The sequence below is a fragment of the Homo sapiens genome, chromosome 12 (genome assembly GCF_000001405.40).
Source record: "Homo sapiens chromosome 12, GRCh38.p14 Primary Assembly".
Classification (NCBI taxonomy): Eukaryota; Metazoa; Chordata; class Mammalia; order Primates; family Hominidae; genus Homo; species Homo sapiens.
Genome location: NC_000012.12, coordinates 29,450,256 through 29,472,296, shown reverse-complemented (window position 1 = coordinate 29,472,296; position 22,041 = coordinate 29,450,256). Strand labels below are relative to the sequence as shown.

The window sequence follows — 22,041 nt, the reverse complement described above, 5'->3', positions numbered from 1 at the left end:
TCATCTATTCTATTCCACCAATAATATATCACCAATGTCTGGAACAGTGCCTAGCAAATGGCAAGCACTAAATAAATATTTGCTAAATGAATAAATAAAATTCTGTAGGCCAGTCCCTAAAATTCTGGTTGCCTAGCATAGTCTGGGAAGGCTTCTTAAAATCAGATTTTTCAGAGGTGAGTTTTGGGAGTCAATATTATTATAAAGCCTATCTGATGTTTGAGAATCACTACTGTTAACTATGGCAAGCTATTGGAGGAGTATGTTCTAAATTACTGCAACCTTATGGGTCATTGGTTTCATCTTTACTGTAGATGTCTGTGGCATCCCTCCATTTAGTCCCCAGTGGCTTTCCAGAAGAATCGCAGGAGGGGAAGAAGCCTGCCCCCACTGTTGGCCATGGCAGGTGGGTCTGAGGTTTCTAGGCGATTACCAATGTGGAGGTGCCATCATCAACCCAGTGTGGATTCTGACCGCAGCCCACTGTGTGCAATTGTGAGTGAAACTGGTATTTTACCAACCTATTTAGCACATGCATTTGTAAGTAATGCCTAGGACACAAGGCTGACTACTAAGATCATCCAGACTAATTCTAGAGCAAGAATCTTCTTTTAGTGTTTCTTCTGCATAGCCATCTAGCTACTATTTAAACAATGTCAGTGAAGGAAAAGTTAATCAAATCTTGACTGCTTATCCCGTTTAAATAGATCTCTTATTTTGTTTTGCTTCCCAATTGCAGAAATCCACTGGTCTAAATGTACTGTAGTTCCAAAACTAAGTCAGGTTCTTCTTTCTATATTTGAAGACTCCTCTCATGTTCCCCTTTAGTTTAATCTTTAAGCTAAGTGCTCATAGTTCCACTGTTGGTTGTTAGTAATTCCAGACGCCTTACCACACAAGCCACCTTCCACCAGATTGGTTTAGGATTGTTCCTTTGCAAATATGGATCATGTCAGTGGAGACCACAATAGAATAACCTACCGCCTTGATTATTGCACTACTGGGGAAATAAAATTTTGGTTAAGTTTTAAATGTTCTTAAATTGTGAAGTCTTCCATTATATGAAATAATATACATAATATATTTGTAGTTTAAAGAATAGATATTAATGTTAAATGAGCATTTGTATTCCCAGCATCCAGTTTAGGAAGAATCTTTATACTCACCTTTCGAGACCCCTTAGAATCCCTCTTAAGAAATACTATGCTAAATTTACAAGGAAAAAAACTAACAACCCCATCAAAAAGTGGGCAAAGGATATGAACAGACACTTCTCAAAAAAGACATTTATGTGGCCAACAAATATATGAAAAAAAGCTCAATATCACTGGTCATTAGAGAAATGCAAATCAAAACCACAATGAGATACCATCTCACACCCATCAGAATGGTGATTATTAAAAAGTCAGGAAACAACAGATGCTGGAGTGGATGTAGAGAAATAGGAACGCTTTTACACTGTTGGTGGGAATGTAAATTAGTTCAACCATTGTGGAAGACAGTGTGGCGATTCCTCAAGGACCTAGAACCAGAAATACCAATTGACCTAGCAATCACATTACTGGGTATATACCCAAAAGATTATAAATAATTCTACTATAAAGACACATGCACACATATGTTTATTGCAGCACTATTCACAATAGCAAAGACTTGGAACCAACTCAAACGCCCATCAATGATAGATTGGTTAAAGAAAATGTGGCACATATATACCATGGAATACTATGCAATCATAAAAAAGAATGAGATCATCTCCTTTGCAGGGACATGGATAAAGCTGGAAGCCATCATTCTCAGCGAACTAACACAGGAACAGAAAACCAAACAATGCATGTTCTCACTCATAAGTGGGAGTTGAACAATGAGAACACATGGACACAGGGAGGGGAAAAACACAGGGGTTGGGAGACAAGGGGAGGGAGAGCATTAGGACAAATACCTAATGCATGTGGGGCTTAAAACCTAGACGACAGGTTGATAAGTGCAGCAAACCACTGTGGCAGATGTATACCTATATAACAAACCTGCAGATTCTGCACATGTATCCCAGAACTTAAAATTTTTAAAAAATCAAAAGAGAAAAAAATACTATGCTAAATTTCTTAAATGCTATATTCATACCATTGCTTTTGGGGGATTTTAACATATATGTATCCCTAAAGCAGTATATCATTTGGTTTTTCTTGGTTTTGATCTTTATGTAACAATTGTAGTTTATATTCTTGTGTCTTACTTCATCTCCGTAATACCTTGTGTAGAGTAAGCCATGTGGCTGTGTATAACTGTAATTTGTTTTCGATCCAGACTAAAGCAATCCCTTGTGAGTAGGTTCTGGGGCATTGATATTTTTGAAAAGCTTCCCAAATGATTCTAATGTGCAGAGGGTCAAGAACCACTCCCTGCCTCCCTGACCCCATCTTGTTTTGAGAACCAGTCTCTCTGTCACAGACTGGAATGCAGTGGCATGATCATAGCTCACTTTAGTCTTACCTGTGGGGCTCAAGGGATCCTCCCACCTCAACCTTCTGAGCAGCTGGGACTACAGATACATGCCACCATGCCCGACTTTTTTTTTTTTAAGACACGGGGTCTTGCTATGTTGCACAGACTGGTCTTGAACTCTTGAACTCAAGCAATCCTCCCACCTTGGCTTCCCAAAGTGCTGGGATTACAGGCGTGACCCACAGTGCCCCACTTTCCTGACCCCTTCTTGATCATTTCCCTGCTTGCTCCCAGCAGGCCAGCCTCATGGGTCTTTCTGTTGCTCAGATGTGCTGAGCTTGTTCCTGTCTCAAGGTCATTGTAGTTGCTGCTTCAGGGCAGCTCATTATGTTTAGTTGTCAAGTCTCCTCAGGCTCTTCTTGGCTGTAAACTTCTAAGACTTCCCTTGGTCATTTTGAGGAGACCTCATCTGTTTTTTTTGTAGAACATCCCTATGTCCCTCAGTTTAGTTTGTCTGACATTTTTGTCAAGGTTTTACTGAGGTTATGGATTTGGGGAAGAAAGACCACAGAAGTAGCATACTATTCTTATTATATATCAAGGGTTCATACAGTCAACATGACTTATCACTGATGTTAACCTTGACCATCTGGCTGAGATAGTGTTTACCAGGTTTCTCTAATGTAAAGTTACATTTTTCCCCCTTTCCATACTTACTTTTGGGAAACAAGTCAGTAAAGGTAGCCCACATTCAAATTGTTCCAGCTTTGGCCATTGTGAGCTCTTTCAGAGCTTGAGACCAGTCCTTTGTTTTCTGTGTCTCTTTGACACTCCCTCATCCTTTTGTAACACTGCAAGATACTCTAGGTCTATCATGTGTATTTCCTTCTCAGTTCTAGCACCAGCCATTTCTCCAAGGAGCCCTGGTTCATTTTTTTGGAGAATGGTATGATAAATCATGATCTGATGCTGGGTATAGTAGTTGCTAGTAGCACATTGTTGATCCTAGGCCCTCTCAGCTGACAGAGCTAGAAAATATAGGTATGTATACTCACCCATGTATATAAATATATCTATCTGTATCTACATCAAGCTAAACATGAGTTCATACAATATTTTCAATGCTAATTCAGTACCACCTGGTTCTGTCTAGGCCTTCTCTCCCTTACAAAAACCTATTTTTATAAGAATTCTATCAAAGTGCATTGAACGTACCATGGAAAAGATGCCTCAAGAGTAGCCGATTAATTTGTGAAAATTAATGTATTAGAAAAGAAAATATTAGTATTGAGTACAGAGACGCAGAAAAAGCTTTGGTAGATTCCCTTTTCAAATTACATGGTCTATTCTGAAATTTATGTGATGAGCCATGACGCCTTACAGCAAGATACAGAATATAACAAACCTATTCTTCCCAAGATAGATATTCCACTTGATGAATCAATTGAAATTAATAAACAGCTGTAAATGCTTGTGAGCCACTTGTTAGTCACAAAAAGAATTTGTATTTAATTTCATTTTTGACTTCTTAATTTCTTTAAAAATATGTATTATAATAGTAATGCTTTTGGGGAAAAAGGCAGTTAGAGAAGGTTATCAAGCAAGAGCTTAAACTACCCTCTCCATTTCTCTAACACACTATTTTTCTCTAGAAGTCATCAATATTAAGAATGTTTCAGCTGTCTGATTTTCCACTAATATTTAAACGTACATGCATATATTTTATAGTACTTGTATATATCACTTTTTTTGCACATAACATTATATCTTATAATTATAGTGGTATGGTAAATGTCTATGTGCCACATTTTTTAATACTTCACAGTTGCCTAAGTTATTTGACCAGTGAAATGTCTTTTTAAATCTAATCCTTGAAGTGTGTGGATCTTTACACCAGGAGTGTGCTCATACGCTGGTGTAACAAAAACCCTATGTCCTACACGTGCCCTGCCTTTTAGCTTCCCTGGCACTGGTTGACTCCAGTATTAATTCTCAAACTTCAGCATACTCCAGAATCACCTGGAGAGCTTCTGATTCTTTAAGTCTGGTGTGGGGCCTGAGAATTTCCTGATGGTGGTGTTCCACACTTAGGAAAATCTGGTGTTCTCATCTTGTTAATTCCACACAGGATTTTGTGCTCATTGGGACTTTTATCTTACTTTTGGAGACCAAGCTCACTTTGCAATTATATATGTGAATCTTTTGTCTAAAATTTAAATCAGCTACTGAAACTTCAGTGACTTTCTTTCTGTGATAAAGTCAGGTGGCTCTCTCTTCTTCCATAGCAATAAGTGACACATGCTCCACTGTTGGGTTGGGTATAAGATCCTAAGACTATAAGAAATGAAATTTTATATGGGAGAGGGGGAAGAAAAGGTGAAGAAATCCATCAATTGATACCTTGAGCTATGTTCCTACTATTGGAAAAATCTTAAGCTTTGTGGTATCATAAAGTGCATGTGGCTTTGTCGTGTTTGTGCAGTGTTCTCCATTAAACTGAAGGATATTTGCTGACTGTACATGTAAAACATCATGAGAAACTGTGGACTACATTGTCAATTCTACCATCATTCTTATTACTTCATTGTATTGTATACACTCTCTTCTATATAAAGATGTGGAGTAGATTTAAGAAGTTTCTTCACTACTAAGTAATTATTTAGAGGGTGACTTTGAAAAAGTTTAATCCTTCCAGTAGCGTGCATGGCAGATAATAAGAATGATAATGGCTACCATTATGGAGTCATTATCATCTACCAGGTACTTGCCAAGTGCTTCACTTGAGTTAGCTCCGTTAATAAAGGCATATTGAAACACATGAGTAAGTCAAACCCATTATGCAAGGAATTGAAATGAGCATGGTTATGACTGTGGAGAAAATGCCTACATGCATTAAGAATCTTCACCTTTAAATAAGGTATATTGAAAAATAATTTGAGTAACTTTACTTTTCCTGAAGAAACAGTGTTTAAAGAAATGGAAGAATTAAATGGAAGAATTAGTCTCCAAGTAGAAGTGACAGTGTATTGGTTCCAGTAGAGGGACTCTTTCCTCAGACACTTTTTCAGCTGGAGATCTTGATACGAGAAATTAATGGATATTGATTCAAACTTCTTAACATCATTTTGAGGTGTATCAGAAGTAGGCAGAACTTTTCACAAAATGAACACCCATGTAACCAACACCCAGATCAAGAAACAAAATACTGCATTACTAGTACCCAGCAGCCGCCCTTGTGCCTCTTCCAGTCATCACTCCCCTAAAAGTAATCAGCATTCTGATTTCTAACGCAATAGTTGAGTTTTGCCAATTTTTAAACTGATAAATTCCTTTGAACTTTAGTTTCATAACTCTGATTTAACAAAAGATGACGATCTGAGATATGACCCAGTGAGATCATAATTCGGCAATGTTGAACAGTAAAATATAGACCAGAAGCTACCTTGTCACAGATATAATTTTTTAAACATATTCTTTTTTTCTTGCAAAGATTTTTATTATTTATTAAACAAATTTAAGATATTGATAAATACAGTACTGAGATAAATACAGTATTAAGAGAAACGTATTTTCTCTTCCTTATGATTTTTTTGTATATATTTTTTATTATACTTTAAGTTCTAGGGTACATGTGCACAACGTGCAGGTTTGTTACATATGCATACATGTGCCATGTTGGTGTGCTGCACCCATTAACTTATCATTTACATTAGGTATATCTCCTAATGCTATCCCTCCCCCCTCCCCCCACCCCACAACAGTCCCCGGTGTGTGATCTTCCCCTTCCTGTGTCTAGGTGTTCTCATTATTCAATTCCCACCTACGAGTGAGAACATGCGGTGTCTGGTTTTTTGCCCTTGCGATAGTTTGCTGAGAATGTTGGTTTCCAGCTTCATCCGTGTCCCTACAAAGGACATGAACTCATCCTTTTTTATGGCTGTGTAGTATTCCATGGTGTATGTGTGCCACATTTTCTTAATCCAGTCTATCATTGATGGATGTTTGGGTTGGTTCCAAGTCTTTTTTAAACATATTCTTAACATCACTGTGAAATTAAGCTTTAATTATTTTCATTTTTCCTCCTCGACCTAAAAAAAGCCTTTGGTGATATTTGGCAAGGTTTCCAATGATACTTTATGGTCAAAAGAAAGGGGCAGGATACATGATCAAGAGCTCCTTTTCACATAGATCAGAAGGCATGATGTGGCTTCCCTGGGAGGGAGATCGCAGAGGCAATGGGACAGGGGACTGTTGCCTCGCTGAACTGAGCAGTGCATGTTAGTAGAGCCAGATGATGGTAGGGTGGTTTCCCTCCCTACCTGTTCACCTGATAGTGAGTTCTTGCAAGATCTGATGGTTCAAAAGTGTGTGGCTTCCTTTGCTCTCTCTCTTCTGCTTTGCTGTGATAAGATGTGCTTGCTTCCCCTTTGCCTTCAGCCATGATTGTAAGTTTCCTGAGGCCTCCCCAGCCATGCAGAATTGTAAGTCAATTAAACCTCTTCTTCATAAACCTCTTTTCCTCAGAACGTCTTCAGAAAGACTTTATAGTCTCAGAGTCCTTTATAGCAGTGTGAGAACAAACTAATACAAATGTGTTTTCATGTCAAACTTTCACTGTTCTTCTGTCTCCAGGAAGAATAATCCACTCTCCTGGACTATTATTGCTGGGGACCATGACAGAAACCTGAAGGAATCAACAGAGCAGGTGAAAAAATGTTTTTACAGGTCATTCTGCCTGTAATCTAAATGTTGTCACATGCCAAGGAATACCTTTAGCTAAAATATGTAATTAGTTATTAATCTCCTAGGGCCCTTTCACACTTATTATTTATACCCACATTTAAAAATGCAATTTGAGATTACATTTTCACTTGAGAATTGCAGGAAGTAGGTCAGAATTGCAAATTTAGGCCCATGGACACAGGTTTTCAAAGCTTTATTTCTCCAGCACCACCTTTATCCAGAAGGTGGTTCATAGCCCCCTGCAAATTGTAAACCAATATTGCTCTTTTAAATTTAATAGAAAGTCTTCTGCATTGTTTATGTATGTAAGTGCAGAAATTTAGGATTATTTTGGACCATCAACAAGGAAGTTGCTGGATTCTTTGACTTTCTTACGTTGTAATTTGCTTACTTGCCACCGATACAGGTGAGAAGGGCCAAACACATAATAGTGCATGAAGACTTTAACACACTAAGTTATGACTCTGACATTGCCCTAATACAACTAAGCTCTCCTCTGGAGTACAACTCGGTGGTGAGGCCAGTATGTCTCCCACACAGCGCAGAGCCTCTATTTTCCTCGGAGATCTGTGCTGTGACCGGATGGGGAAGCATCAGTGCAGGTAAGCATATTTTTGTTGCATAAACATTAATGCCAGTTGTTATTTTTGAAAATAGGTCATGTAAATGATATCAAGCAGCATCCGCTTCAGCCCCTCTTCTTTCTAAAAGATAGAAACCATGTTTTATTTAGCTGTAACAGATCAGCAAGTAAATAGAGAATGAGCTATTTAAAACTTTTCCTTCAGGGTAACTTAGATTATAAGTAGGCTAGATGAGCAGTCAACAAACCTTTACTGTAATGGGCCAGATAATAATCCTTTTAGGCTTTGCAGGTCATCTGGTCTCTATCACAACTATTTAAGTCTACTGTTATAGCATAAAGCAGCCATTGGCATTATGTAACAGAATGGGTTCCAACAGAACTTAATTTATAAAATTTAAATTTCATTTAATGTGCACGTGTCATGAAATATCATTCTTTGGATTTTCTTCAACCACCTAAAAATGTACAAACCATTCTTATTTAATGGCTTGTGCCCGTGTTTGGGGGTGGCACAGAATTTATCCACTGGCTGTCATGTGCTCACCCCTGGCTATGGTATAGAACTCTTAAAGGCTTAGTAAAACAGTGAAAGATCTGAATGGGTTGATATTTGTTTTGTGCTTCTTATACCATACAAGATCATTTTCTTTGTATATTTCCTTTCTATATGTCATTTATTTGGAATCTGTGAGCTTGAAGGAGGAGGGAATTTATATTTGACTGCTTACAGTGTTGATATTGACAGCTTACTGTGCTACCTGAAGCCAAATTGCACTTTCGTAAAAATCTTCACACCCAACACATGAGGAGCTTTTATCATCCCCATTTTACAAATGGAGAGGTTGTAACCCAAAGATTTAAGTAACTTGCTGAGATCCCATAACTAATAAATATCAAATTGAGGATTTAAGATCAGTGTGGCTCAGCTTATAATCTTAATGGCTTCTCATTACACATACAATCAAATCTGAACTTCTTAGCCTAGCTTGGAAAGCTCTGTGTGATTGGGCCTCCCCACTTAACCTCTTCCACATAATTTCCCTCTATTTTTCTTGTGGTTAACCTTCAGATACCGTGGCCTTTCTTCTTTCTCTTAAACACCAAGCTTGCTCTGCTTTCTGAAGTTCCCCATTTTGTGTCCTCCTACTTGGAACACTCTTATTACAATCTTGTCACAGCTGCCTGCTCATTATTGCATTTTCAACCAAAATATCACTTCCTTTCGTGGCCCACATTGCTGCAGCAGGACGGGCCTCCCATCACATTCCGCACTACCTGGTTTTATCCTCTCACTGCATGTTAATGTAGTTGGCATGATTTTATGCAGTCATCTTCTACATCTAACCCACTAGACTGAGAACCTCTTGGAGGCAGATCTGTCTTGACTCCTCTCTCCCCAAGGCTAGAAGCATACATGGCATTCAGTAAATATTTCTTGGCTTACCAGCTTCAAAGCCCTTGAATAAATGTGCCTGCTCTCTAATACCTTTGACTTTTACCAATTCCATGACTACCAGGCAACTGAGAGGTAGTCTTATAAAAGACGAATTCATTCTTTCCAGCTAGGAGAGGAAATGAATCTTGATTTCTGGGATATGGTCAGTAACACTAAGGGAGATGGTCCCCAAGAAGAGGAGTTTTAGTATATTAAGAAGAATGCAAGATTTAGAGTTGAACTTAGGCTTGATCCTAGTTCTGTCCCGTAAGAGCTGTGAGATCAAATTTTCAGAGGTCTGGCTTTTTCATATGTGAGATCAGTGTGATTAACCTGATCTCACATATGAAAAATGTTGTTGTATTATTAGGTTGGAATAAAACTCTTTACAAATATTAAGATACTATATAAATGTAAAGTACTTGTTATTAATATTGCCCCAAAAGGTATAGGGCTATAAAATATTAAACTTAAAAAAATTGGTCATAAATCTAAAATGATAGGATGAGTCATGCAAAATACATGTTAACACAGGCCTGCCTAAGGATCAAATATGAAAATAAATTATTCAGTGTTATCTTTAATTGGAGATGCGATTAGGCTTCAATGACAGTAGATGAAGAACAGGATTATGATTTTTGTTTATATTAGGAAATCATATAAGCATATTATTTGTAAGCAATTATATATTTATGTATATAAATATATAACCATATATATTTATAATTGTATAAGTTATATGTGACACCAATTCATATCATGCTGAATTTTTCTTCCTGAATTCTTATGCAGAAATATTTGATACACTAACATTTAAATTGAAAATAAGCTAGAAAAAAAGTGTTTCTGGTTTTATTCTCCTGCCAGTGGCCTCTCTTTACAAAAATGCCAAATTGGGAAATGAAGACATGTTACATGAAACACTTGTATTTTTTAAATTCAGAATTCTACATCAGCTCAGGCCAAACTGAATGACTTCAGCTATGTTGGTACAGAGCTACATCTGAACTTAAATACATTTCTAACAACACTTTCTGCTTACTTCATCATCGAGCTCTCTCTGAATGTTTCTTCATTAGATGGTGGCCTAGCAAGTCGCCTACAGCAGATTCAAGTGCATGTGTTAGAAAGAGAGGTCTGTGAACACACTTACTATTCTGCCCATCCAGGAGGGATCACAGAGAAGATGATCTGTGCTGGCTTTGCAGCATCTGGAGAGAAAGATTTCTGCCAGGTGAGAGGATTCTGGTTTTATACAGGAAGGTGGAAAATTGCCATCTGCTGAAGAGTTTCTATAGACAGGAGAAACCATTGCTGAAATCACCAACTTGTCACGTGCTTCAATATCATATCCCTGCATGAAGACCAGTGGGGCAACAGAAGTAATAAGTTAATTAATCCGAATTTGCTGAGATGTCAGAGAGTGGCCGGAAGCAGCTGTACAGCGACAAAGGCCGGTGGGTTCATAGAGGAGCTGGTGAGAAGGCAGGAAATGGCAGAGCTTCTAAGCAGGCCTGAGCAAGGGAAGATGTGTTCAGGTACAAATAAGGCTTTGGGAAAAGGAATAACAAAGAAAGGTTCTAAACTTATGTGTCCTACTTATGACTTAAAAGTTTTATTGTTTTAAATTATCATTAATCTCTGTACTCTCACTTAATTTTCCACAAGTTAAAATAATCACAAAGATGTCTATTGTACAAGCTTGATATTGGCAAGATCATAATTAACCAAGAAAAAGACAGAATATGAATAAACAGATTGTAGAATGCCAGCTTTAACCTTCACAAAGTCAATGGAAGAATGTGACTTTAGATATACATACAACCTAAGACTTCCTAACACTCCGTGTGCCTACCTCCAATCCCTGGTTTGGATGTGGGGCTACCCAAGTAAGGGAAAGTTTGGGTCCATAGGGGAGCCCAAATTCTCCAGACTTATCACTCCTGCTGGTCTGGTGTAGAGAGGAAAGAAAGAATGAATCTTGTTTCTGCAGCTCTTTGATAGTTTTCCCCACCACTCAGTCAAGAAACATGCAGCAATAGATTTCACCTCCATGAGGGAGACACAACTGGGCATTAATCTAGGTGGACGTCCTTCCATGTGAAAATATGAGAGAGGCAATGAAGTCCCCTTTAACACTGAATATAAGTTTATTGTCATTAACGCCTTCCTTTTATAATGTCAAGCCTTGCTTAAATTCTGTTTGAATTTTGCATATCTTTATTTGCATTCCCCAGAAGCAGACCCTGAGATAAGGATTCTGGTACAATGGTCTGTTTTAGGAATCATAGATATCACCAGTAGGAAAGGGAGGAGATGGTACAGGGAAGGGAAGGCAGCCAATCTAGGATGCATTATTAAGCCATCTGCCATAGTGAGGGCCTAATGCTTAATCCTGCAGGAAACTCAGGGCAGTGATGCTAAATACACGTGGTGAATTTATCCATCTGAGGAGCGAGGGAGCTGGGATATTTATGTACTACTTTCCCTTGAGCCATAGTTTGAGGGCTGCTGTGGGAAATGGCTGTTAATCCCTCAGCATTTCCGATACTTTAGGGTTGCCTCCTGGGTGTAGTGGAGAGTGGGGAAGACCCCAGGCACAGAGCCAGGACATGGGCTGGAAGATGTGAGGAATACGGAAAGTGCACTCCTGCTGTCTGCTAGAGTACATAAATGTTATCTGATAAAAATCACAAAAGTACTCTGAATTAATGTGTTCATTCTTCCCCTCAGTCTATTGTAGGATTTGAGGGATGGCTTTTCTTTCTTCAACAAGAAAATCACAACTAATTATGTTGTCTTTTACATATTTGACAGCATCTAACATTACAAGGTGAGCTTATTTTGTGCGGAAAGAAAAGAACTAGAGAGGGTCTTAGAAAGATCCATGTCACAGGTGACCTAAATATCATGATCTCAGTTGGCACTTATCTTTTCAGTTATATACAACTGTCACTTTGGCTGCAGCATGACCAAATGTACTGCCCATATATGGGAGGAAAACTGGAAGTTGAGATTTTAATAAATATGGCTAGCTTTCTATTACAAAGAACACTGAGTTACTAGAAGGGTGACTTTAGAAACTTGCTTTGATAAAATAGTCTCTAATACTTCTATCAGGTAATTGATTTTTATTCTCCTGTGTATACTTAGAGGTAATAGACCTGATAATGTGCTTTCTCATCCAGGAAGGTGGGAATAATAATATTGGAATGCAGAGACATGGGGTTTTCAGATACGCAACGTAGTATCCTGTTATTCTTTGCTAACTGGCTTTCAGATTTTTTATTCTAAGTTCTTTTTTAATTTTTAATTTTGTGGGTATATAGTAGGCATATATATTTATGGGGGACATGAGATTTTGATACAGGGATACAAGGAATAATCACATCAGGGTAAATTGGGTATACACATCACTTCAAGCATTTATAATTTGTGTTACAAACAATCCAATCATATCGTTTTAGTGATTTTTAAATGCAGAATTAAATTATTATTGACTGTAGTTACCCTGTTGTGCTATCAAATACTATTTTTTTCATTCTATTTTTTTGTACCCATTAATTATTCCCACTTCCCCTATACTCACCCACTACACTTCCCAGCCTCTGGTAATCATCCTTCTATACTCTATCCCCATGAGTTATGTTGTTTTGATTTTTAGCTCCTACAAATAAATGAGAACAGGTGAAGTTTGTCTTTCTGTGCCTGGCTTATTTAACTTCACATAATGACCTCCAGCTCCATACACATTGTTGCAAATGGTAGGATCTCAGTCTTTTGTATGGCTGAGTAGTACTCCATTGTGTATATGAACCACATTTTCTTTATCCATTCATCTGTTGATGGATACTTAGGCTGCTTCCAAATCTTGGTCATTGTGAATAGTGTTGCAATAGACATGGGAGTGCAGATAACTTTTCAATATCTTGATTTCCTTTCTTTTGGATGTATACCTAGGAGTGGGATTGCTAGATCAATGGTATTTGTATTATTTTTTTGAGGAATGTCCACACTATTCTGTATAGTGGTTGTACTAATTGATATTCTCATCAATAATGTACATGGGTTCCCTTTTTCTCCACCTCCCTATAAGCATTTGTTATTGCCTGTCTTTTGGATAAAAGCCATTTTAACTAGGGTGAGATGATATCTCATTGTAGTTTTGATTTGCATTTCTCTGATCAATGATGTTGAGCACCTTTTCATATACCTGTTTGCCATTTGTATGTCTTCTTTTGAGAAATATCTATTCAGATCTTTTGTCCATTTTTAAAATCAGATTATTAGATTTTTTCTATAGAGTTATTTGAGCTCCTTAAATATTCTGGTTATTAATCTCACATCAGATGGGTAGTTTGCAGAAATTTTTCCCATTCTGTGAGTTGTCTCTTGGCTTTGTTTCCTTTGCAGTGCAGAAGATTTTTAACATGATATGATCTTATGTGTCCATTTTTGCTTTGGTTACCTGAGCTTGTGGGGTATTACTAAAGAAATCTTTGTCCAGTCCAGAATCCTGGAAAGTTTCCTCAATGTTGTTTTTTATTAATTTTATAGTTTGAGGTCTTAGATTTGAGTCTTTAATCCATTTTGATTTGACTTTTGCAAATGGTGAGGAATAGGGAACTACTTTCATTCTTCTGTATTAAGGACATCCAATTTTCCCAGCACCATTTATCAAAGTGACTGTCCTTTCCCCAATGTATTTTTTTTTTTGCACCTTTGTCAAAAATGAGTTCAATGTAGATGTATGGATTTTTTTTCTGGGTTTTCTATTCTGTTCCATTGTTCTATGAGTCTGTTTTTATGCCAGTACTGTGCTGTTTTGGTTACTATAGCTTTGTAATATAATTCGAAGTCAGGTAATGTGATCATTCCAATTCTGTTCTTTTTGCTCAGGATTGCTTGGCTGTTCTGAGTCTTTTGTGGTTCCATATACATTTTATGATTATTTTTCTATTTCTGTGAAAAATGTCATTGGTATTTTTTCTAACTTCTTTTCATCTACAAAGTCATAGATCTCTATCTTCACAGAATAATATATGTCCTCAGCCACATTGATTTGCCTTCTAGCCTTCCAACTGACCATATCTTGCCTTAGAGCCTAAGCCCAGATATATCTTTTGCATAAAATGTTGTTCCTCCAGGTTTTTGGAAAGCTGGCTCCTTCTCATCCTTTATGCATCAGCTCAAATGTTATTGAAACTGTATACACATACATGCACATGTAAGCAAACATATAACTACCTTTATTCTTTACTATTCACTCTGAGTATTTCCTTTATAGCTACTATTAGCATCTTATTTGTTTATACTCTGTCTTACTCGGTATGTCTGGCTCACAGTAGGCATTGAATAATTTTTTAATAAAAAATATTCATTTGTGGCCAGGTGCAGTGGCTCACACCTGTAATCCCAGCACTTTGGGAGGCCAAGGCAGGCGGATCATGAGGTCAGCAGATCGAGACCATCCTGGCCAACATGGTGAAACCCTGTCTCTACTAAAAATACAAAAAATTAGCCGGGCTTGACGGTGCGCGTCTGTAGTCCCAGCTACTCGGGAGGCTAAGGCAGGAAAATCGCTTGAAACCAGGAGGCGGGGCTTGCAGTGAGCCGAGATCACACCACTGCACTCCAGCCTGGGAGACAGAGCAAGACTCTGTCTCACCAAAAAAAAAAAAAAAAAAAAAAAAAAAAAAATTCATTTGTTTGCTGAATATTTACTATGGACTGGACCATATGATAGGCACTGGCAAAAAGAGATAAATTGAACAGGTTCCCTGTATCATGGAATGTTTGTAATTGCCTGAAAAATGATGTATTGGCTATGCATTGGTACTGAAAAAAATCAATGATTTAAAATAAAACACTTGACTGGATACATCAGACCATTGTCCAACTGGAAACAACTGGAAGAGGGTTTTAAGTATAATTGTTATGTGAAAAAATTAGGCCCAGAGGAAAGGTTAATTGTTCTACATTACAGACTAGCAACTGTATCTCTTTTTTCCCTACTTAAGGTTTCTTCTGTTAAATTCTTTATATAAAGTAGATATTTCAAATATGTACCAGCAATTTATGTGCTATCAAATATGTACACAATTTATCTTACAAGAAGACAAATAAAGGACTTAGTTTGGTCCTAAATACATTTGTGTTCATCCACTTCCTGCAAAAGACCTGATTAAAAATTGGAAAGCCTAACCTAAAACGATGAAAATCCTATGTATTAAGGCTTGGTTTGATACAACTGGTTTATAAAATTTCACCGTAAATTAGGCAAACATTTATTTAGCATGTGTTAGTGCTGGATATTGTGGTAGGTTTCCTAGGGTACAAAGTTGAATCAGATGCAGTGCTTACCCTCAAATGGGGCACATGTTGTAAATACAGACATAAACAAGGGCATGTATTTGGTGCTGCCATTGATTTTCACATTGAACCTCAAGAGACATGTAGAAGATGTTAGTGCTAATTAATAGATAAATGTGTGTGATGTACATATTTTGGTTCCCTTAATAACAATACCACTGTTTGTTTTCTTCAAAATCTCTTTCTGCTTATAATTTGTCAATTTAAACAATGCAAATATTGAGAGAAATATTCAAGAGAGACGCTTCCATCTACGAGAGCTTCTTAGTGCTTGTGGGTAGTATTTTTGCCTTTTGAAATGTGTTTCATCATGACCAAATTAGCCATATCTAAGAGAGTACAAAAAATTAACTATAAGTTAAATTTCCATGTGTCTTTCCTTGAATTCAATAATTATGTAAGCCAGATACTAGAGCAGTTTAAGGTAGGTCCATTAATGAACATTTATCAGTTTGGTGGAAGGGAAAGAGCACTGAACTTTGGCAGGTGACATGGACTCAGATTTTACTGCTGCTACTACCTATGTGTGTGAAATGGGACAGGTCACTTATTTCTCTAATTGTAACTTTTCACATCTAATATCCTAGTAAGTTAAATTAGTTTGGCCCTTAAAGTCTTTGAAATTGTGCAACTTTGGTATCTGCAGGTAAGCCAAAATAAAATTGGAATACTAGAATTAGAATGAATACATTTTAATAGATTTAAGTCAGCCTTTAACTTTTCTTCACCTCACCACCAACACCCTAATTTCTCTGTGTATGTCATAACTCTACTCTTTGATCTGATTAGATTGTGTCAAGAGTGACCAGTGATAGGGAAAACACTACATATAGAGGTTACCACCCAATGACCCTAACCCGATTTCCTTAAAAAAATTTAAAAAAAGAAAAAAACAGGCAGCACATTTCTTGTGATGGATCCATCTGAGCCACTGTGCAGTTTTCTGATTAAATTTTTGTTTTAAAAAGATGCTTGAAATCTTAAATATTACAGTTTTACTAATTGATATAATTTAAAGACTATCTCCCTCCGATGGGGCTGGGAAGATTTAGTAATGTAATTGTTTTCTTTTTATGTGAACTAAGCTTTATCTTCACCCTGGAATCAAATTACCATCTGATTGTTCATAAATTTTGTTTCCTTTTGCAAAACAGTGAATAGATAGTATGTAAAGATGGAAATTGACAAAACAAATCTTTAAGGAATTAAACACATTACAAATACATTATTGGTCATTCTTGTTCTAAAAACTGAAAGCAGGAGCTTCAGATTAAAGCAGTTTTCTAAAACATGTTTTCTTGGTGTTTCAGGGAGACTCTGGTGGGCCACTAGTATGTAGACATGAAAATGGTCCCTTTGTCCTCTATGGCATTGTCAGCTGGGGAGCTGGCTGTGTCCAGCCATGGAAGCCGGGTGTATTTGCCAGAGTGATGATCTTCTTGGACTGGATCCAATCAAAAATCAATGGTAAATTGTTTTCAAATGTTATTAAAACAATAACCTCTTTCTTTAGAGTGGGTTTGGGAACAGTGAGTGTGGTATAAATTAGCATGAAAGAGAAAACCATAGAGTAGAATTTCATTTAGTTACTAAACACACTAAAATGCAAGATTCTGCAAAATAAGTTCTCCCATGTGTAGAGTTAAACTGACTTTTCCTTAGGCTGCTTTAATCCTGGATTTGTTTCTTTTTTGTTTCTTTTGATAGTGGCTGCTTTAGTGCCCACTATATTTTGTTCTCAGGCTTTCATCTTTATTTTTAACATGTTCTCCCCAAATACAGGTCCTGCTTCACTTCAGACAAATAATAAATGCAAAACCTTAAAACAACAATTGCCACCACCCACACCTTCACCAGACAGTGCATCTTGGCCAGGTAATAAATGTTTACATTATCCCATTAATACTTTCAGCCAGAATTTGGCAAGAAGCATTGTCTGTCTAGCTTTGCTAAATTTTCTATGGAACACTATAACCTCTGTGTTTTCCTTCTGGTTGGTAGTTTTAGCTGAAAGTGGGGAGAGTTGTTATTAAGATTGTTGGAGATCATTCCTACCCCAAAGCTAGACCTGTTGCAGATTTTTAAAAAAATCTTGTGGTTGTGAACCAGTGCTTGAATATTGGAGAATTACATAGAATTATTTTAAGCTCTGAATCTGAATAAAAGTCCTTCTATATGCAAGTATCTTGCCTAGGTAAAGACCCTGGGTATGAGATGACCAAGACTAGCGCCAGCATTAGTATTTCTCTTCATTCTTCCACAGTTGCCACTCTCTGTTTGATAAAAGAGGATTTTGATTTTTAGTCAAAACTAACAGCAATGGAGGATTTGAAATCTCTAATAGACTTGTAGGAAGATGGAAGTTCTATTTTATTATCACTCTTGGTTTCCAAATGGTCAGTCTTTCTTTTGTTGCCCACATCTTCCCCAATACATTCAACCCCAGTAAACAACTAGTAAGAGTTTAAAGAAAATGTAAGATATAGAAGGTAGAATTGCAAGAGTGATGACTTTGAGTAGAAGAAAGAAGATGAGATCTAGTACCCAAAAGGAGGCGATGGTCTTAGGAGCAAAGTACATATCATCTATAGTTAACTGATGGAAGGCAGGATCTTGAGGCACCGGTGCAGGTATGAGGTGTTTGGGAATAGATGGAGATCGGAGCCTGTGGAATTTCTCTTCTGATGGCTTCTTTTTCTTAGCAGATGAACAAAAAGAAGCGGTTGTTCAAGAAAGTTTGATTTTTAAGAGAAAAAAGGATGACATATTTCTCGAGAAAATGACATAGTGAACTAGAAAGATATAGTAGGATTGCTGGGTAGCATAAAGGCCCCCTGAGATGAATGATCATAAATTGAGAGAGCAAAATGCCCCCAGTTAGCTTAGTTGTATGTTTTCCTCTGGATGCACTGAGGTAGATGCAGAGTAGGTAGAGGGTAGACTTAATCAAAGTGGAGTATCCCCAAGTATGTGAAGGGTATAAGGGAATTCAGAGTGTATGTGAAAAAGTGGTTAAAATGATGGATCATTGGAATTTAGGATGGGTAAGGAGTGAAATAAGGATGAGAGATTTGTTTGGGACAAAAATAAGGTAGGATAGATAAATTATGAGTCCCAAAAGGTGGAAGGAGTATTAAGGGAGGCTGAAAAGATGGAAGGTTGTGGTTGGAGAAAATGGTTCCTGAAACCGAGATTACAGAAGGCTTGGAGTTATTGCTACTGATCAAGTGTCTAGGGGCTGACCATAAGGATAAGTGGCTGAGGTCAGGTGGAATACAAGATCACTGGAGGAAAATTGAGGAGCTGGGAAACTTCAGTGCTGGAATCATCATGTATATAGTGATTGAATTCAGAAAGAATTATGACAGGAAAAGTGTTGGAGAAAATGACCGCTAAAATCTTCCAGGAATAAGGAGTGGACCCAGGACCATTTGTCTGGCAACATGAGTCAAAGAGTCAAAGCTGGGGATACATAGAGTTAGGTTAAAAGTAAATCTGGACTTGGGATTGAGACAGAGAGCAGACTTGGGTCCAAGATCCTATAAACTATTGATTTCAATGGACTGAGTTAAATGAATGAATTCAGTGAGTGCCTAAATAGGTTAATCCATGTAAGGCATTTATAACAGGAAGGGTCTGACCTGAGATAAGGGTCCATAAATGGTGGTGACAGTGCCATCTAATGTATTTTTTGAATGACCTTATTCAGACCATTAGAAAATGAACATTGTTAAAATGTAAAGAAAATGTTTCTCTTTTAAATATGTTCAGAAATGGTTATGCACGCCAAAAACTTTGAAAGTTTTATATACGGAAAGGTGTTGCTTTGTTTTTATTCTATGATTATTTTCGGAGACAAAATGTTAGGACCATGCCATATTTAACACCCACCCACTCCCGCTACTAACTTTTTACACTAGGGAATTAATGAATCTTAGCAATGGTTTCTTTCAATTGTTACTCCCATTTATAAAAAGTCTTGACTTGTTGGTAATTCATGGCTGTATGTGATTTCTGGTCAGATTTTTCACAGAGGATTCATATAGAGAGGGAGAAAAACTAAAAAGATTAGAAAGACAGGCTGAGGCCAGACTCTGAAAGATCTTGCAAGCTGAACTACTTCAGTTGCTTTCAGCAGGAAAACAATTTGATTTTTTTTGTTTTATACACCATTCCCAGATGGTAGGGCAAGGCGAGGGAAGATTATAGACTGAAAAATCATTTAGTTTACTATTAAATCAAAATGTTAAATATCTGATTGGTTCTTGTAGCTGTACAGATAAAAAAAGAGGACTAACAAAGAAATGACAGAGAACCAAACAATAGAATAGAATCCTAAGTTTTTGTAGCACTTCATTTCCCTTATTCTACTTTTCACCTCTACTGTGAATAAAAGCATGTTTACGTACCTCCTCCTCAGGTACAGTATTAATTTCTCTAGGGCAGAGCATGCATAATTATGTATTCACTAACACATACATTAAAATATGAATATAGAATATTTCATTTTTTAATTGCTTAGAAAGTTTTTGTCAAAGGAATAGACATAAAGGAAGAAGAGAGAGTTAAGGACGAAGCCCTGATGAGGACATAAGAGAAGCTGATTGCTGAGTCAGCGGGCCATGGAAAAACTGGCACCCAAACTGCAGGAGGTATCCCAAAGGTCCAAAGGTGCCCTTGGACTTAGCAAGCTGAAGAAGTGAGACATCTCAGTATATCCAGCAAGTTATCTTTTTCATGACCTCAGTCACAAGCTCAAATGAATGTAATCATTTGTCCCAGCAAGTTCAGCTAATTTAGTGAAGCTTTGAGGAACAGGTCTTCAGCTGCATCTCAAAGGAGGAAGAAAATGAAAATCTGCTGGGTATAGAGAATGCAACCTACTGTCTATTTTCTAAGAAACTTTAAAAATTCATTTAAAACTGATTCAAAATAATTGTGATTTAAATTCTACCTCTATAATATCATTTCAAGAAAATAAGACACATTAAATAGAATGGTTTTCTAACAGAATAATTTGTAACTGACAGTAACAAAGTCTTAATTTTCTCCTTGCAAGCCTAGATTTTTCAGTCTTGTGATAGAATCTGGTTTTTCTTTGCTTTATTTATGTTGGTCCCTGGTGTCTGTGTGTTCTGAATTGCAGGTTGTTGCTCTGAAGCAGAGCTAGAAAAGCCTAGAGGCTTTTTTCCCACACCACGGTATCTACTGGATTATAGAGGAAGACTGGAATGTTCTTGGGTGCTCAGAGTTTCAGCAAGCAGTATGGCAAAATTTACCATTGAGTATCTGTCACTCCTGGGGTCTCCTGTGTGTCAAGACTCAGTTCTAATTATTTATGAAGAAAGACACAGTAAGAGAAAGACGGCAGGTAATCCTTCCTGGCATATAAACTTCGTGCTAGGAGTCTTGGTCCATGTAGGCAGCTTATGATCAGGAATGAGTCTGACTTGGTAATAATGTTACCAAAATGTTGATCCATGTAATAGGAATGCTTTTTCCCTTGTAAACACACTTAACATTTTCTTTATTATTATTATTATTATTATGATTATACTTTAAGTTCTGGGTTACATGTGCAGAACATGCAGGTTTGTTACAAAGGTATACACGTGCCGTGGTGGTTTGCTGCAACTATAAGCCTGTCATCTACATTAGTTACTTCTCCTAGTGCTATCCCTCCCCTAGCCCCCCACCCCCCAACAGGCCCCAGTGTGTGATGTTCCCCTCCCTGTGTCCATGTGTTCTCGTTGTTCAACTCCCACTTATGAGTGAGAACATGCGGTGTTTGGTTTTCTGTTCTTGTGTTAGCTTGCTGAGAATTATGGTTTCCGGCTTCATCCATGTCCCTGTAAAGGACATAAACTTATCCTTTTTTATGGCTGTATAGTATAACATGGTGTATATGTGCCACATTTTCTTTAACCAGTCTATCATTGATGGGCATTTGGGTTGATTCCAAGTGTTTGCTATTGTGAAGAGTGCTGCAATAAACATACATGTGCATGTGTCTTTATAGCAGAATGATTTATAATCCTTTGGGTATATACCCAGGAATGGGATCGCTGGGTCAAAAGGTATTTCTGGTTCTAGATCCTTGAGGAATCGCGACACTGTATTCTACAATGGTTGAACGAATTTACACTCCTACCAACAGTGTAAAAGCATTTCTATTTTTCCACATCCTCTCCAGCATCTGTTGTTTCCTGACTTTTTAATAATCGCCATTCTAACTGGAGTGAGATGGTATCTTATTGTGGTTTTAATTTGCATTTCTCTAATGACTAGCGATGTTGAGCTTTTTTTCAAATGTTTGTTGGCCACATAAATGTCTTCTTTTGAGAAATGTCTGTTCATATCCTTTGCCCACTTTTTGATGGGATTATTTATTTTTTTCTTGTGAATTTGTTTAAGTTCCTTGTAGATTCTGGATATTAGCCCTTTGTCAGATGGGTAGATT

General features: G+C 37.3%; 1 protein-coding gene and 1 long non-coding RNA gene across 15 annotated transcripts in view; one reads left to right on the top strand and one right to left on the bottom strand.

Annotated features, from left to right (window-relative positions):
- OVCH1-AS1 (OVCH1 antisense RNA 1) overlaps positions 1-22,041 on the bottom strand; it is a 98,031-nt gene that overhangs the window by 15,028 nt on the left and 60,962 nt on the right. Inside the window, exons 2-3 of one of the 3 annotated variants that reach the window (NR_073170.1) lie at positions 10,363-10,563; positions 7,367-7,892 (exon numbers count right to left, since the gene is read on the bottom strand). The exons of 1 other annotated variant lie outside the window; for it this stretch is intronic. This is a non-coding gene — a long non-coding RNA (OVCH1 antisense RNA 1). Of the gene's footprint in view, positions 1-7,366; positions 7,893-10,362; positions 10,564-22,041 lie in introns of those variants that run through there. One more of the 3 variants, NR_073171.1, reaches the window with a different exon arrangement.
- Positions 1-22,041, top strand: part of OVCH1 (ovochymase 1) — a 95,519-nt gene that overhangs the window by 25,390 nt on the left and 48,088 nt on the right. For 8 of the 12 annotated variants that reach the window (XM_024448968.2, XM_047428780.1, XM_011520638.3 and 5 more), the window contains 7 exons: positions 315-495; positions 7,078-7,150; positions 7,595-7,790; positions 10,289-10,443; positions 16,892-17,048; positions 17,364-17,456; positions 20,728-20,952. In XM_024448968.2, the coding sequence (XP_024304736.1) occupies positions 315-495; positions 7,078-7,150; positions 7,595-7,790; positions 10,289-10,443; positions 16,892-17,048; positions 17,364-17,456; positions 20,728-20,952 (1,080 nt within the window). Of the gene's footprint in view, positions 1-314; positions 496-7,077; positions 7,151-7,594; positions 7,791-10,288; positions 10,444-11,942; positions 14,553-16,891; positions 17,049-17,363; positions 17,457-20,727; positions 20,953-22,041 lie in introns of those variants that run through there. The other 4 variants (XM_011520641.3, XM_011520640.3, XM_011520642.3 and 1 more) reach the window with 4 other exon arrangements.